The sequence below is a fragment of the Homo sapiens genome, chromosome 12, assembly GCF_000001405.40.
Source record: "Homo sapiens chromosome 12, GRCh38.p14 Primary Assembly".
In the NCBI taxonomy this organism is placed as follows: domain Eukaryota; kingdom Metazoa; phylum Chordata; class Mammalia; order Primates; family Hominidae; genus Homo; species Homo sapiens.
The window spans coordinates 100,660,410-100,678,386 of record NC_000012.12 but is presented as its reverse complement, the minus strand read 5'-3'; the positions used below and the strand labels follow the sequence as shown (position 1 = coordinate 100,678,386).

Here is a 17,977-nt window from a genome sequence, read left to right as displayed (position 1 = left end):
GATAGGAAGACATTTGAGACCTGAAGGAAGTGAGGGAGGCAATCGTGCAGGTACCTGGAGAAGAGTATTACAGGCAGAGGGAAATGGCAAGCACAAAAGCCCGGGGCAGGAAAGCGACTGGTGTATTTGAAGCTCAAGAGGAAAGCCTGCGCAGCTGGAGCAGAGAGAGCAAGCGGGAGCCTGGAGGCAGCTGAAGATGACCACGGAGAGGCCGAGGTGAACGTCTGGGGCAGAGAGGGAAGGGCAGAGGGCAGACCAGGAGCAACTTGTAAAGATGTGGCGCTTTTACTGCACATGAGATAGGAAGTCAGGAGCATGATAACCAGCAGAAGAGTGACGTGATCTGACTTTTACACTTAGCAGGATCCCCCTGGCTGTTTTGAGAACAGACTGACAGGAAGCAAAGGTGGAAGCAGGAAGCCCAGGTAGGGATGCTCTTACTATAATTCAGGCGAGTGATGATGTGGTTTGCACCAGGGTGGAAATGGTGGAGGTGGTAGGAACCAGATGTGTTCTGGATCTATTTTGAACATACATCCAACAGAATTTGCTGATGAATTGTCTCTGGGGTGTATGAGAATTGACAGGAATCAAGAATGACTTAATGTGGCCAGGTGCGGTGGCTCATGCCTGTAATCCCAGCACTTTGGGAGGCCGAGGTGGGCAGATCACAAGGTCAGGAGATTGAGACCATCCTGGCTAACACGGTGAAACTCCATCTCTACTAAAAATACAAAAAATTAGCCAGGTGTGGTGGTGGGTGCCTGTAGTCCCAGCTACTCAGGAGGCCGAGGCAGAAGAATGGTGTGAACCCGGGAGGCAGAGCTTACAGTGAGCCGAGATCTCACCACTGTACTCCAGCCTGGGCAACAGAGGAAGACTGCATCTCAAAAAAAAAAAAGAATGACTTAATGTATTCAATAAAATGATGTGTACCAAATGCCAGGCACTGTCCCAGACGCAGTGAATGAAACAAACAAAAATCCTGCCCTCACGAACTTTCTCTCTAGTGGGGAAAAGAGAACACACAGAAATAACAAATTTTAAGTATGCTGGGTGGTGGTAAGCGCTAAGAAAAAAACCAAAGCAAGGATAAGATTAGGAAGCATCACGGGTAGGGGTTGTGATTATAAAGAGGGTTTCAAAAAAGCCCTCACCAAGGAGGTAGGATTGAAGTAAAGACATGAAGGAGGTGAAGGGGTGTACCACGTAGCTATCCTGGGGAACACCATTTCCAGCAGAGAGAACAGAATGTGCAAAGGTCCTGAGGTTTTAAACACATTGACTTTGAGATATCAATTAGACATCATAATGGAGCTGTCATGTGGGTAATTGTTGACATACAGTCTGGAGTTCAGGGGAGATCACTGAGACAATCTCCAAAGTAGTCCTCTTGGCATTGGGCCCACCCTACTCCAGGCAGTTGTGAGCAATTATCAAAGTTTCCCTGGGACTGATGGGTTTGCCAGGATACAGAACTTTCAGGGCTAAAACCAAGACAGTCCTGGGTAAGCTAGAGAGTTGGTCACACTAATTGCAGGTAGTCCTCCATCCTGCTGCCAGAGAGGTGCTTCTCAAATGTAATCCTAAAAAACAATGGCTCCTGAAAATCTTTGAGTTGTTCCTTCTAGCATGCAGGATAGAAGTCAACATTCTGAAGAGCTCAGTGCAAATATCCCTTCCTATTCTGGCTCCAGCATCTCTCCTGCCCCTCCCTCACTGCACCATCCCTTTCCCGCTGCCCCTGCCAGCCAGCATACCTTTCTCAACAACCATCCAGCTCTCTGGCATTCGCGCTTCCTGAATGCATGGTATATTAGTTTGTTCCCTGCTAATAAAGACATACCTGAGACTGGGTAATTTATAAAGGAAAGAAGTTTAGTTGACTCACCGTTCCACAGGGCTGGGGAGGCCTCAGGAAACTTACAATCATGGTGGAAGGGAAGCAAACAAGTCCTTCTTCACACGGCAGCCACAAGGAGAAGTGCCAAGCAAAAGGGGGGAAAGCCCTTTATGAAACCATCATATCTCGTGAGAACTCACTCACCATCATGAAAACAGCATGAGGGTAAGCACCCCCATGATTCCATTGCCTCCCACTGGGTCCCTCCCATAAAGTGGGGATTGTGAGAACTACAATTCAAGATGAGATTTGGGTGGGGACACAGCCAACCCATATCACATGGGGATGTTTTAAACCACCCCAACCCCGGTCTTCTCATAGCCTAATTTCTTTGCCCACCTTTCCCCTGGCCTTCCGCTTCTGTGTGTAGTAAAAATTCTTCTCTTGCTTAAATCTCATTTTGAACACACCTCCTGGAAGCCTTCTAGCTCCACGACCAGGGTACTCTCTCTGTCCTGCTGAGGGCTGAATCCTGGCTTGGTGGATCCAGAAGCTTGTACAATTTGGGGGCAGCTTTAAGAAAAATAATAAGTTACAAATTTAGGTATAAAATGAGTACTTATTTAGAAGGGACACATGTAAATGAGGAGTCCTGAGGCGGAAGAATGACAGTAAATTGGCCTCTGATCCTACCTTTTCCATTCCATGCAGTAATTGTAGGTTTCTGGGGATTAAAAGACGTGAGGTGACCCACTTGTGTGAAATGGCCAGGTAGGCCTCCTGGCCAGAGTAAGTGCTTAATAAATATTTCTTTCTCCTCTTTTCCCACCGTGGGGTTCTGCCTGCCTTTCATCAGTCACATCCTCCAAAGGCTGGGCAACAAGCCAGGAAATGATGCTGTTTTCTGTGAATACAGGAACTGATTTAGCTCAGCTGTCTTACATTTCAGAATCAAGATCCATGTTTTAGCTGAAATATTTTCCCTGCCACGGATGAGTTAAGATGACTTAATTGATCCTTTGACCCTTATATTTTGTCAGCAGGTCAGAATGTATGTCTCTAATGTGACACTGTGTATTCGAACTGACTCCAGAGTCTGTAAATAAGGATGGAAGAGTGCTGTTTTCTGCTATTTAAGCAAATCAATGTTATTGTTTTAAAGGGACCAACTTCCTTCCTTGTAAATCTAAGTATATAATAAATTAATAATTCATCTTCCCTGAAATAGTTATTATAGGCATTCTGCTGTCTGAGAAAAACAAGTTGTCTAAGAATTGGATGCTTGTGGGTAACACCACCACCATCAATCACAGCGACTCCGTCTGTTGCTTTCAGTCATTTGTCCAATGCCCACAACAACCTTGGGAGGTGGTAGAGTGTCTCCATTTTAAATGTGAAGAAACACAGAAGATATCAAATAACTTATGCAAGGTTACAGAGCCAGTAAGTTCTAGAGGCAGTATTTTTTTTTTTTTTTTTGAGATGGAGTCTCACTCTGTCACCCAGGCTGGAGTGCAGTGGGCAAGATCTCGGCTCACTGCCACCTCCACCTCCTGGGTTCAAGCAATTCTCCTGCCTCAGCCTCCCAAGTAGCTGGGATTACAGGTGTATACCACCACGCCTGGCTAATTTTTTTATTTTTATTTTTAGTAGAGATGGGGTTTCACTATATTGGCCAGGCTGGTCTCGAACTCCTGACCTCAAATGATCCACCTGCCTCAGCCTCCCAAAGTGCTGGAATTACAGACGTAAGCCACTGCGCCCAACCTAGAGACAGCATTCTAACTTGTCTCTTGTGGGCATGCCACCACTCTCTCTGTAGGGGAAACATTACAGTCCGCAGTGTCGGCTCTTACCAAGGACAGCAACCCCTTGAACTTCCTTCTAGATGAACCATTCTGCTTCTTTGTATTGCCTGGATAAAGCCCAATTCTCTGTGCCACTTCAGAAGCCAACAATCCCAACCAGTCCCTGGTCTCACAGGCTGAGGCATGTGTTTGGACCAATAAAGATCTTCAGATGATGCCCCTGTGCCCTCAGCTTTTGAGTTTACCTAGCTCACCTTGGTGTTTGTTAAATGTTGTTCAAGTGGCTGTAACATTCAGTCACTGCTTTTTTTTGGATAGAAATCGCCTGCTGATGATGATGGATGATGGTTAAATCTACATGGACTTACTTACATGCCAAGAATGTGCTAAGAGCTTTACAAATTTTCGTTTAATTCTTGCAACAACCCTATGAGTTAAATATTAATGTCCTCATTTTTATTTAACTGAAATACCTAAGGACTAAAAAGGTACAGGAAGAAAACTAGTTTTAGATCACCTAGGTAACTACTAACCAGAAGAGCTAGGATACACACCAGGATCTAACCAATCCACAGTACAATGCTGCCCTTAGCCACTGTGCTATTTCTAGTGGGAGAAGGGTCAGTATTATTCATTAACTAGCATAAACTCTAGCCAGATTTAGGAGATACATTTATTTCTAGGCAAAGAGTATTTATCTATCAATCTATCTATCTATCTGTCTATCTATCTATCTATCTATCTATCATCTATTCACTCATTGACACAGACTGTTCCTTTTTCCTGGAATATTATACTGCTCTCTCTTTATTTATGGAGCTAACCTCCTTATCATCCATCAAGTCTCATTTTTAAGTTTCACATCCTAGCCTGACCTAGTGTCTTATCTCTGCACCCTCATGGTACACTGCCTATCCTAGCCAGGGGTGGCTCTATGTTTTGTGGGCCTGACGCATGAAGTACAGTCATTGAGAATGACTTAAAGGGTAAGCAAAGGTAGAAACTCAGGGTAACTAGAACTTAACGCGCATTTCCTCTTCAGGTTTTGGTTTTTCTGAAATGCTCGATAAAGCATCATCACAGCCCTATATTGCTTTGTGCTTAATCCAAGTATTTGGGTTTTATTTCTCCAGGATATGATATCATCTCACCTTGGTAGATAGATCAAAGTTCAAACAATTTAAAACTCTAATTGCTGTAATTCAGATTTGAGTTGCTGAGCTTTATATTCAGCACCCCTAAAAGTTGTATCCCCAATAGAAAAGTGGGAGCAAACAGTGCTGACCCAACCTGAGGCTCTAATTGCCAGCACCTGCCATTATAGTTTCAGTGGTCAGCTTAATTTGCAATGTGTAATTATTCGAGCTATTTTTGCTTATACAGACTTTGTTGAAATCAGGTCATGACAAATATTGTACTGTATTAACCGATACTAAAACTTAGGGATGCTTTTTTCTTGCACACAGTAACAGGAACTCAGCAAGATGTTATTAGCCACATCTTACCTGTAAGAGAACTGAAGCTGAGAGGTATGATCTCCTAAAGCCACACAAGCTAGTGAAAAGCAGAACAAACCAGGTTGATTACAAAGTGAGTGTCTTTTGTAGTGTGCCACCCCAGAATCAAATCAGAAAAAAACCCCAAATCTTATGGCTTCAGCAATCACATTAGAGATTTACATTTCTGTGTACAAATTAGTCTTACTAGAGTAGAATACATTTAACACGGACAATAAGTATAATCAATATTTCTGCACGTGGTATTTCTAAAAAGCCTGCATTGGAGCTACCTGGGTATTATTGCTTCCTATTTACTTCACTTTGTTGCCAATCATGGAATTGACCTGCTATTGATACAAGTGAGCAGATGAATACCTTGAAACATTTTGTGAATTTAGGTGTGGTCATTCCTCTTGTTAATATTTCAGCTCAAACCAGAATCTTTGCTTACAAATCCCAAGACATTTCTAAAGTTAACTCTAGATTCTTGGTCCTCAGTGGGAATTGAAGTATAGCTAAGAGTTGACCTTCAAAGTCCCTTTATGATTCCTGGATGCTGGTTGAGGGCACCATGGCGTTAAACCAGGCTTCCTCCAAATTCTCCTTCTCTGTCAATTAAGTGAAACAGCCCTGTGTCATTTCTCATTTCCCCTCTTCTGTGGCACAAGCCATTTATCATCTGAATAAGTGGACTTGAAATTACAGATGGCACCTATGCCCCCTTTCTCCCTCTACCCCAGGGCACACTTCTTGGGAGTAAAACAGAGACAATGGGCTTACATTGACAGTAGGAAGACATATTTCCTTTACATCTCTCCCACCATCCCTTCATTACTATATGGTCATGAGTCCATCTTAACATTTCTCCCAATTATTTCTGGAAAATCAGGGTTGGGGAGCTCATGGGCTCACCAGTTCAAGCTCCTATGCTATCATCTGATAGCCACCATGGAGGTCTTTGGGGAGGTCTCAGGCTCACCAAGCTGCACCAGCACAGTACTCCCGCTGGTGTCCACCAGAGGGCACTGGCTCCCATGGAGGCTATGGGTCCCACCAGAGCTGCACCCAGGGCCCTCCCTGTGGCCCACCACTGCGGCCACCTCCCTACTGCACCCTCTAGAGTCCCACCCTGCAGCTGCTCTGTTAGGAGGGAGGAAAGTTTCTTTCTGTGCCTTTTAGCCCCCGCCCCACACCAAGTGTAGCCCAAAGGAAAGCTGACTTGTGTTCAGATACTCACAGATGTGAGATGTGTGAGAGCAGCTGTTAGTTTTTACTCGTAGCGCCTCCTCTAGGCTTCGGATGAGAGTGCCTGGGAGCTGGGCTGCACTATACGCAAACCACTCCTCCTGCCTGGACATTGTTGTTGGACTGAATTGTGTGCCTTGATCTCTGTCCTTAGGATGAACTCTTCCAGGAGAATCTAATAGCTCTTTAAGCAAAGAGACTGCTGCTAGGCCCACCCACCAGTCCCTGCCCTATGCAAGTGAATCCTAGCAGGGGAAGAGATTACTCTGCAACTAAGACCCTTGGAATTGCAGTACAGTGAAATCACCTGCTTCCAGCCCTCAACTCCAAAACATCTAGGATGATTGACCTCCACAAAGCAAGCCCAGCACTTTCTCCCGACTTGAGGCAGATTTTTCAGGCATGAAAGGTCACAGCTGCACCCTCACTCCCATTCCAACCCCACCAAGGAGTTGGCAGAAAGTCCAGGCCAGCTGAAAACCCAGCCGTGGGATAGCCTGCTCCAGCCAGCAACTGTGTGTCACCTCCACTGATCTCCTGGGCCTGAGCAAGTCAGGATATATGTCAGCTCCCACCTGGGGTGGCTACTTCTTAATGTTGCTGAGGTCCTTAGAGCAGGAGCCAAGAAAAATGCAGCAATTGTGAGACTCTGCAATTCTGGAATCTCTGTTAAATGCTTGAGTTGTGAAGGTGCAAACATAAACCTCATTATCTCTTTTCTGGGAATTTTGCTTTTCCAAAAGAGTATTTGCCACTAGCCCCTTTGACAGCGGCAAACATAAGGATATTGTGGGTTCTGACAGAACAAATTTCCTTCTGGAAATAGTTGCAGAAAGAGGACAAAGGAGGCCAAAATGAGTGCAAGTGGGTAGCAAAAACTCAACATACCAACCCCAGTGTTGTTCCCTGCCACCTCCTCCCCCTGCTTGCACTTCAGCTTGAGTTGGGAATGCCTGCTGCCAAAAGTGCCAGTGCAGTTAAATGCTGCTTAGCCTCACCAGTGGCTTCTCTCTCACTTGGAGAAATAATAACTAGTCAAATGCTGAAGATCCTCCAGGCATATTAATGATCTGTTCATGTTGTTTATAGGACAAATGGAATGACTATAACCAAGATGCTGACAGTGAGTGATGATTACTATCTGACAAAGCACTATTCTCAGTAAAGTCTGGTTTTCATCTGGGGAGACTGAGGGAAAATTCAAAGGCGCAAAGCAAATGGCAGAAGCCTGGCAGATTTTTGTACCGGTTTCTAACATTCATGGATTCCCTAGCATGCTCCAGGCACTGTGAAGTGGTTACTTAGTTATCTCCTTAATCTACACAACAGGTACCTCTGAAGTGAGTACTGTGATCCTTACCTATAGCCAAAGAACCCTGGTAACTTATCTAGGCTTCCACAGTGGCAAAGAAAAATATCCCTAAGGGATTCTGACCAAGTCCTTAAATCATTAGCACCATTGGTCAAGACTCAGTTGCAAGAGACAGAAACCCAGCTCAACGTATGCACCATCTAACTAACTTCAGGCATGGCTAGATCCATGGATCTAACCATGTCACATGCACTAACTCCATCTCTCCTCATTGATCTTTTTATCTCAGTTTGCCACAGCTTCATTCTGTGTGTGTCGTAAACTTTATTCTCTTCTGCAGCAGAGCTTCCCCTTATACAATCGGGAAGCTGAACACAAATAGTTCCAGCCAACATTATCATTTATCTCATGATCCCAGAGGAAGAGAGAGCCTTTCTTTTTCAGAATCCATGTGTAATCTCTCAGGGGAGATGCTGGCTCCATTCAGGTCACATTGCATCTATCCTTAAACCAGTCACCACAGTGGGGAGTTGAGTCCCGTGACTGACAGCCCACTGAGATCACATGAAGAGCGAAGCAGTGTCTCTGTGAAAGGAAGGTTACTGGACAAAACCCAGATGCCTATTAGAAGCAATTTAATAGAACTAATTGGGACTTAACTTAGATGGAGTCCCTTATGAACTTGGGTCTGCCAGTTTTCATGGGATTAATTTCTTTTTGTTTTACAATCTCTCGTGTGTGGGATATACTTGTTAAAATGGGATCAGAAGAACACACCAGGAAGCCCCAACCAGGTTTGTGTGTGTGTTAGAATTAATTTTAAAGTGAGTGGCTAGCAGTTTTCTTTCTAGAATAAAACTGGCCTGGACACTCCAAAAATGGTCATTTCATAAAAGGAAAAAAAGAAAATAACGCTGAGGAACCACACCAGATTAAGGAGACTCAAGAATCATGACAACTAAATACAGTCTGTGATCTTTTTTATTAGATCCTGGATTTAAAACTGTATATTAAAATGGCATTATTGTGACAATTTTTCAATCTTAGTATCTCTAGGTTAGATAATGATATTTCATTAATGTCACATTTCCTGAGTGAGACTGTGGTTATATGGAAGAATGTCCTTGTTATTAAGGGGCACATGCTGCAGTATTGGCGGATGAAGAGTCGATTATGCAACTAATTTTCAAATGGCTCAGAAAAAGATATATACACACAGATATAAGGAGAGAAAAAATAGAAACTATAGCAAAATATTAAGAATTGATGAATCCAGGTGAAAGGTATATGGGTGTTCATTATAACACTGTACTATTCTTGTAACACTTCTCTAGATTTCAAATTTTTCTAAATACAACATTGACGAGAAAAGAAAAAATTAAGGTACAGCCTCATAACAATCTAAAATTTAACTCCCCCACCCATAACGCAGAAAGTAAAGTCCAAAAAATTCAATCGTGTAAATGTGAGGTCATTTAGTGCCAGGCTAGTTACGTGACTGAGGATTTAACAGCCAGGGTTGCAGGAGTCCAAACTGTCCAGGTCCACTGCTGCTGGCGCCACCTGGTGGCAGTTATCCGCTGAAGGCTGGGGATTTGTTCTGGGTCCTATTGGTAGTGATGCCAGGAATCTGCAGGTGGTAGCACCCCTTTCCTCAATCAGATCCAGGAGCTTGCCCAGGAGTATTCCGACAACAAGGAGACCCACCCTCTTGTTTCCTGCTTTCCAAGAAGGGTTGCAGGTCGTGGGCAGGGGTCGAGGTGAAACACTCTGGGTCTAGTCCACGTGGGAAGCACTGGCATCCAGCACCTGCTGCGATAGCAGGCGGCGGGCTCTGCCACTCTGCCTGCAACAAAGTCCCTGGCTATGGAAACCTAATGACCACTAGTTCAATGAGGAAGTGCTTGGAAGAGTTTGATGCAGTTGCCTGTATCAAATCATGGCTGAGAGGGGAACATCACTTTGTCAGTGCAGCAAGGTCAGAAGAAAGATCACACTACTAATTTTTAAAAGTCAACAAACAGTTGAGAGACTATTAAAATTATTGGATACATTATTTGCACTCCAACTTACATCATTTAAAGCAGTTTTATTACAGAATAAAAGGGAATGTATTTTAAATTTTTATTTATACTTTTTTATAGAATTTTTTCTTTTTCTGTTTTTTTGTTTTTTTGTTTGTTTGAGATGGAGTCTCACTCTGTCGCCCAGGCTGGAGTGCAGCAGCATGATCTCGACTAACTGCAACCTCCACCTCCTGGGTTCAAGCAATTCTCCTGCTTCAGCCTCCTGAGTAGCGAGTAGCTGGGACTACAGGCGCACACCACCACACCTGGCTAATTTTTGTATTTTTTTCTAGTAGAGATGGGGTTTCACCATGTTGGCCAGAGTGGTATTGAACTCCTGACCTCAGGTGATCTGCTCTGCCCTCAGCCTCCCAAAATGGTGGCCATAGATTAATTTTAATTTCAATACATCACACCCGACTCATAGATTAATTTCAATTACCATATTGTTTTAAAATATTTTAATATCACCTGTGCATGAAGGTATGTTTTATTTTTGTTTTTGTTTGAGATGCAGTCTTGCTCTGTCACCCAGGCTGGAGTGCAATGGCATGATCTCACTGCAACATCCGCCTCCCAGGTTCAAAGGATTCTCGTGCCTCAGCCTCCTGAGTACCTGGGACTACAGGCGTGCACCACCATGCCTGGCTAATTTTTTGTATCTTTAGTAGAGACGGGGTTTCATCATGTTGGCCAGGCTGGTCTAAAACTCCTGACCTCAAGTGATCTGCCGGCCCTGGCCTCCCAAAGTGCTGGGATTACAGGCATGAGCCACTAAGCCCAGCCAAATGTGTTTTGAATACCAACCTGTACACACACCACTATATATACATACATACATATATACACATATATACATACGTGTATAAACACCAAAAGTTATTCTAGCCTGTTTTCTGAATGGAAAATTGGTCATACGGTACCACTTGTAGGTGTCCTTTCCCTACTGTTTTATTCTTTTTTAAATCTTGTTAATCCAGATAGTGTTTATGGTATGATTTATTTAACAGTACCATCTGCGTATGGTATGACTTACGACTTATATCTTGCCTATTTTAAGAAAAGATTTGAGGTGGTTTATGATACTCAATCATATATAAATCAAGGCAATAGGGCCGGGCGTGGTGGCTCACGCCTGTAATCCAGCACTTTGGGAGGCCAAGGTGGGTGGATCACAAGGTCAAGAGTTCGAGACCAGCCTGGCCAATATGGTGAAGCCCTGTCTCTACTAAAAACACAAAAATTAGCCGGGCGTGGTGGCGCTCGTGTTTAGTCCCAGCTACTCGGGAGGCTGAGGCAGAAGAATTGCTTGAACCCGGGAGGCAGAGGTTAATCGCCTGAACCGGGGAGGTGGAGGTTGCAGTGAGCCGAGATCTTGCCACTGCACTCCAGCCTGGGTGAGACTCTGTCTCAAATAAATAAATAAATAAATAAATAAAACAAGGCAATGAAAAAAGATTAAGATGAAAAACCATAAAAGAGGGGTGAACATGAGGTAAGCTAAATAGTCACAATTTTAGCTTTAAATTTCAGGGGGAAACAAAATGAAACAAAATGAGCTCTTGCTTCTAGACCCTCACCTCCAAAGGACAGCCAGAGTTTATTCTGGCTAGAAGGACACCCAGGAGAGCAGGACAATTGGAGCCAAGGAGTCTCTCAGTAGCAGCATCTGGTGACACCAGAACCAGAGAGTGGCTTCATGAAGACCAAGAGACCAAGAGGCCAAAACTCCATAGGCCATGAATGGCTCTCAGAATGGGTTGGCCAAGCCCAGGGCCAAAGGCAGGAACTGCACCACTAAGGACACAAGCAAGGAGCAGCAGTTGGGGTCAGGAAAGAGCATTCCTGAGTGACAGCTGTGGGCAGCAGCTGGAACTGCAGGGCCGGCCTTGAGGTGGAAAGGAAAACAGGGCTTCAAGGACCAGGGATACAGAGGACACTGATATAACTCTGCATCATTAAAGAAATCTGTGTTTATCTTTCATTGAAGGGCATAGTAACATGGCAACGATGAATTTTGTAAATGATACAGAAACATTCTTCTCATGAATGCTTCTCCTTGACAAAAGATAGGACACGTAGTAAAAAAAATAAAAATTTAAATTAAAAGGCTGAATAAGAGCTAAATGCATTTTGTGCAAATCAGTAGCATTTCTACATACCACTGAGAAGCAATTAGGAAATATAATGAGAAGGAGATTCCAGCTGCAGCAGCAAGAAAAAGATAAAGTAGCAAAGTACCTGGGAGTAATTTTTTACAAGAAATGTGCGTGACCTCTATAAAGAAAACCCAAAACTTTACTGAGAGAGTTAAAATTGAGTTCCATTAATCAATCTTTGATTAATGGGAGGGTATGCCAGACTGGAAAACTTAAGAAACGTCTTAAGATGTCAGTTCTTCACAAACTCACTTATGGATTAATGGCTCCCAAATGAAATTCCAATGGGGGAAAAAAGAAAAGGAAAATGTTTTAAAGTTTACATGAACAAAGATGAATAGTAATTAACTTTAAAAAGTCAGTATATGTGTTCTTGGTAGGGTGGACAAATGATGGTGAAGAGTTCCACATTGTAGAAAATTCCAAAGCAATAACTGAAATAGTCTTCCAAGAACAGAGATCACAGTAGGGTCTATAAGAGATATAGACTGGATTATATATAATAATTTCATGTCTATTTTTTCAAAAAGGCACCACGAAATAATGTGGAAGAGAAGAATAATTCAATCAATGGTGTTAGAATACTTGGTTAGATATTTGGCAGAAAAGTCATTATGTCACACATTCATCCCAATGCATTTCAAGTGGATGAAGACTTTATATTTAAAAATCAAACCCTAAAAGAACAAGAGAAAATAAAATAAATATTTGTCAAATTTCTAGGGGCAGTGTAACTTTTCAAACTTGGGAGTAACTGAAGAAGTCGTAAGAGTTAAGAGATTTCACTGCACACAATTTAAAACACCTTCATATAAAAATACATAACCAAACAAAAGATAGGTCAGGCATGGTGGCTCACGCCTGTAATCCCAGCACTTTCGGAGGCCGAGGTGGAAGGGTCGCTTGAGCTCAGGAGTTCAAGACTAGCCTGGACAACATGGAGAAACCCCGTCTCTACAAAAAATACAAAAGTCAGTGGGACATGATGCCCTGTACTCCCAGTTAGTTAGTCAGGAGGCTGAGGTAGGAGGATCACATAAACCCAGGAGGTTGAGGCTGCAATGAGCTGTGATGGCACTACAGTTGAGCCTAGGTGACAGAGCGAGACTCTGTCTCAAAATAAACAAACAAAACACACACACACACACACATACACACACAAGATAGACTGGGAAATATATACTCAACAAGGGCAAAGGCAAGGATTAATATATTTTACCCTTATGTAATAACGAGTATGCCAATTAGCAAAAGGACCACTAAGACGGGTAGGAATAAAAATGAGCAAAGGACATGAATAGAACTTGTCAGCCACAGTAGTCGTCAAGGAAATGAGAATAAAAAGAACAACAAAATAGCATGTTTTATTTCTTAGTTAAATATGTATATTTTACTACACAGAGACTACCCAGAGTTGAAGAAGGGGAGAGGTACTAGGAAAGACAAGTTCTTAACCCTACCAGTGGCATTGGAAATCAAGAAAAGACATTCAAGGCTGGGCATGGAGGCTCACTCTTATAATCCCAGCACTTTGGGAGGCTGAGGCAGGCAGATCACTTGAGGCCAGGAGTTCGAGACCCACCTGGCCAACATGGTGAAATCCTGTCTCTACTGAAAAAAATATATATATACAAAAATTAGCTGGGCAGCTGGGCGCGGTGGCTCACGCCTGTAATCCCAGCACTTTGGGAGGCTGAGGCGGGCAGATAACCTGAGGTCAGGAGTTCAAGACCAGCCTGGCCAACATGGTGAAAAATACAAAAATACTAAAAATACAAAAATTAGCCAGATGCGGTGGTGTGCGCCTGTAATCCCAGCTACTCGGGAGGCTGAGGCAGGAGAATCGCTTGAACCTGGGAGGTGGAGGTTGCAGTGACCCAAGATCGCAACACTGCACTCCAGCCTGGGTGAGGAAACGAGACTCCATCTCAAAAAAATAATAATAATAATAAGCTGGGCATGGTGGCACATGCCTATAATCCTAGCTACTCTGGAGGCTGAGGCACTGAGGTTGCAATCAGCCAAGATCACACCACTACACTCCAGCCTGGGCAAGAGTGAGACCCTGTCTCAAAAAAAAAAAAACAAACAAACAAACAAAGAAAGAGAGAGAGAGACAGAGAGAGATAGAGAGAGACAGAGAGAGCAAGAGACAGAGAAAAGAAAAAGTAAGAAGAAAGAAAGAAAGAAGGAAGGAAGGAAGGAAAGAGAAAAGACGTTTAATAGCAGTTAGTGATATTTACCAAGAACTATAAAACCATTCTTTAACATTGACCAGTAATCCTAATAAAATTAAGGTATTTCTGACAAATAGAAATATTTTTAGATTAGTTGCACTAAAGGATTCTTTTGTTTGCAGCCAAAAGGACATGATTTAAAGTTGACCTGCAAACTTTTAACATCCCTGTTGCTGAAAGTATTTTTCCCTCCAGGACACCATCTTTCTTCTGCCTATGAATGCATTTGTGGATGATTATAAGCCTGATGATAAAGTAGACTAACTGGTAAATCTCAGGGTGGCTTAGAGTTCTTTCTTCTCTTAATAATGTGACCAGTCTTTCATCTAATAAGTATTTTTTGAGCACAATCTGTATGCATACCACTGGAAGAGGTACATAGATTTGTAAGATACAACTCCTGCCTCTGGGAAGCTTAGACCCTGGTAGAAGAGTTTATACGTCATGTTTAGGAGCATCCAAGCAAAAATCCAAAGTAGAAAACAAAAGTCACTCTTTGAAGTACCAGATGCATTGTGACATTTCTATTTTGAAATAGGTACTGTATGTACATCACACCATCTTCCATGCAAGTTTCTAGAATGAGATATATTGCTAGTCTCAAGTTACTTCATTAGTAGATGAAAAAAGTGACAGAAACTCAGTAGAGATTCTTTGCAAATAAGCATCCCCAAGGTGAACATCCTTGTCAGAGGCTCAGACACAGTAAGCAAGGGATAAACCATTAACCACACACATCGACAGTTCTAGGGGAGAAGCAGGAGAGCTGGAAAGATCCAGAAAGATAGCAAGCTGCTTCTCTACCTCGGGGATTCATTATATGGTAGCTATTCTGACCTGAACAAGAGTGAGTCTGGCATACTAACATTTGAACCAACCATCCCCAAGATCTAGGATCTGCAGATACACCTTCCTGGGCTCTCTAGCCCTGGTGCAAAACGAAGGGTCTGACTACAAGATCTTTATTCTCAGTTGAGAAATTTGTTCAACTTTTTTCTTCCATGAGGAACCACATTCTCTTTTCACGTGTGTGTTTGCGTAGGTTTTTATGTATAAAGTCTGGCATAAAGTAAGCACACACAAAAAAAATTTGGATAAAGTTAATCCAGGCAGCTGCATCTTAAGATGCTTTTTTTTTTTTTTTTTTTTTTTGAGACAGAGTCTCGCTCTGTCGCCCAGGCTGGAGTGCCGTGGCATGATCTCGGCTCACTGCAAGCTATGCCTCCTGGGTTCATGCCATTCTTCCACCTCAGCCTCCTGAGTAGCTGGGACTACAGGCGCCCGGCTCATTTTGTTTTTGTATTTTTAGTAGAGACAGGGTTTCATCGTGTTAGCCAGGATGGTCTCGATCTCCTGATCTCATGACCTTGTCCTCCCAAAGTGCTGGGATTATAGGCGTGAGCCACCGTGCCCGGTCAAGATGCTTTTTTAAGGAAAGAAGCTCATGTCTAAGATTATTCCATAGAAACTGGTTTTTCCCCAAAACTTATGCTTCATCTTAGCTTTCATTTATGATCCTATTTCTTTTTTTTTTTCTTTTCTTTTTTTTTTTTTTTTTTTTGAGACAGTCTTGCTCTGTCACCCAGGCTGTAGTGCAGTGGTGCGATCTCGGCTCACTGCAACCTCTGCCTCCTGGGTTCAAGCAATTCTCCTGCTTCAGCCTCCCAAGTAGCTGGGATTACAGGTGTGTGCCACCACGCCTGGCTAATTTTTTTGTATTTTTAGTAGAGACAGGTTTCACCATGTTGATGAGGCTGGTCGCGAACTCCTGACCTCGTGATTCGCCTGCCTCGGCCTCCCAAAGTGCTGAGATTACAGGCGTGAGCCACCGCATCCGGCCTTATGATGCTGTTTCTTACAACTACTGCATACTTGGTTTATATGGATTTTATTTTTCTCCTAGAGACCTAAGCAGTGAATAGAGGTTAATTTGTTATCTAGTCCATTGATTTTTCTCCTAAGAAAATGGGTTTCTTTTTCAGCATTTTCATCTATTAATTGCTACTTATACCATAAGTCGCTTCTCCAAGCTAACTTATGTTAATGTCTGTGGACCCAGAAAATCTGAGACAGGTCTCAGTTAATTTAGAAAGTTTATTTTGCCAAGGTTGAGGACATGCACCCGCCACACAGCCTCCAGAAGTCCTGACGACATGTGCCTAAGGGGTTTGGGGCACAGCTTGGTTTTATACATTTTACGGAGACCTGAGATATCAATCAGTATATGTAAGAAGTACATTGGTTCGGTCTGGAAAGGTGGGACAACTCAAAGCAAAGGCAGGAAACGTGGAGGAAGCTAGGAGGCGGCTTCCAGGTCACAGGTAGGTGAGAGACAAACCGTTGCATTCTTTTGAGTTTCTGATTAGCCTTTCCAAAGGAGGCAATCAGACGTGCATTTATCTCAGTGAGCAGAGGGAAAACTTTGAATAGAATGGGAGGCAGGTGCCCTAAGCAGTTCCCAGCTTGAATTCTCTCTTTAGCTTAGTGATATGGGCCCAAGATATTTTCCTTTCCCATGTCTAACATATTTTCTGAGTCATGTAACACTTCCTGTGGTTACTGTCATATCTGGCCATGATTGTTTGAACTCATACTTCATTCTTATTTCTAAACTCTCTAGAGTATTGCAGATATGTAGGAGGTCTCCAAGGGAACCCCCAATGAATAGGACCCTTCTCTGTCCAGGTTCTGAGCAATTTGGGAAATAAACTAATGACTAAAGATAGAAACCAAAATAACAACGTTATTCATTACAGAAGCTAGGTGGAAGGGCAAAGTTTAGGGTAGTAACTGAATGAGCCTGCTGACAAGATTAGGAGATTTAAGCACCAAATTCCAGGAAGAAATGAATCCAAAAAGCTGTCCTATCCCCTTACCTTTTAGAACTGAAGAGCAGAGTAGAATTTCTCTCTGGTCCGACAGTCTCCTTCCATAAGAGAAAAAAGTGTGAAATTCTTCTCAAATTTACCAATCAAGGAAGTTACTACCTCCCTGGGGTGGGCTGAGAAAAGGGAAAGGAGCCAGGAGTTAAACTGACTGAGAGTTCTTCATAGGAAAGAGACATCATGAGATGGGAAGAAGGGTTCCCCACGAATAAGATGCACATCAAGAAGCAATAACAAGAAAGGGAAAGAGAAAGGAACTGGAAATCAAAATATTTGTCACTCGTCCTGATTCTGACATATTTTCTGGCTATGAGGACTTGAGCAAATAATATCTCCCTGAGCCTCAGTTTTCTCATCTGTAAAATGGAGATAATAATATCTCTTCTTGACCATCAAGAATAATAATACAAGATAATAATTTTTGTTTTATGATTAATTCATTAATTCTTGTATTAATAATAATACAAGAATAATACAAGGCTGTATTATTTCACTACAGGGTGACATGAAATAATATGGCCTAAAAAACTGTTGAACATGAGGACATGATATTAGCAAATGGAAACTTACACAAATCCTCAATGAAAATCATAAGATAACGAGTTTGATCCTTTAGTGGATGGTTTCTTCCTCTCAGCTTCCAAACAGAGCATAGCTATTTTTAGTCTTGCTTCCTAAAATGCTCCTATTTTTTTTCAGCCGCCTTCAGTACAGTTCTCATTACAGCTGTAAGGTGACCAGAGATTCCCGAGGACTTCCTGGACATTTCCGTCTTAGGCCCTACATTTTGCTCCCTGGATTGTGTATTCTGCTTGCCCACAGCCATGGTACAGATGAAAGCTCTGAACTGGTTTGTCTAAGGAAGGAGATGCCTAGCTCCTTGGAGGCTTGTTCCAGCTGACCCTAACAATAGCTTGATTCTT

The 17,977-nt window shown here is 42.8% G+C and overlaps 1 annotated feature.

Moving 5' to 3' along the window:
* Window positions 16,289-16,817: an enhancer, noted in NCBI's record as "OCT4-NANOG hESC enhancer chr12:101055348-101055876 (GRCh37/hg19 assembly coordinates)". NCBI's record gives its function as "activates a minimal SCP1, AML or CMV promoter by ChIP-STARR-seq in primed H9 embryonic stem cells {active_cell/tissue: H9 hESC(primed)}" and the evidence as "EXISTENCE:reporter gene assay evidence [ECO:0000049][PMID:30033119]".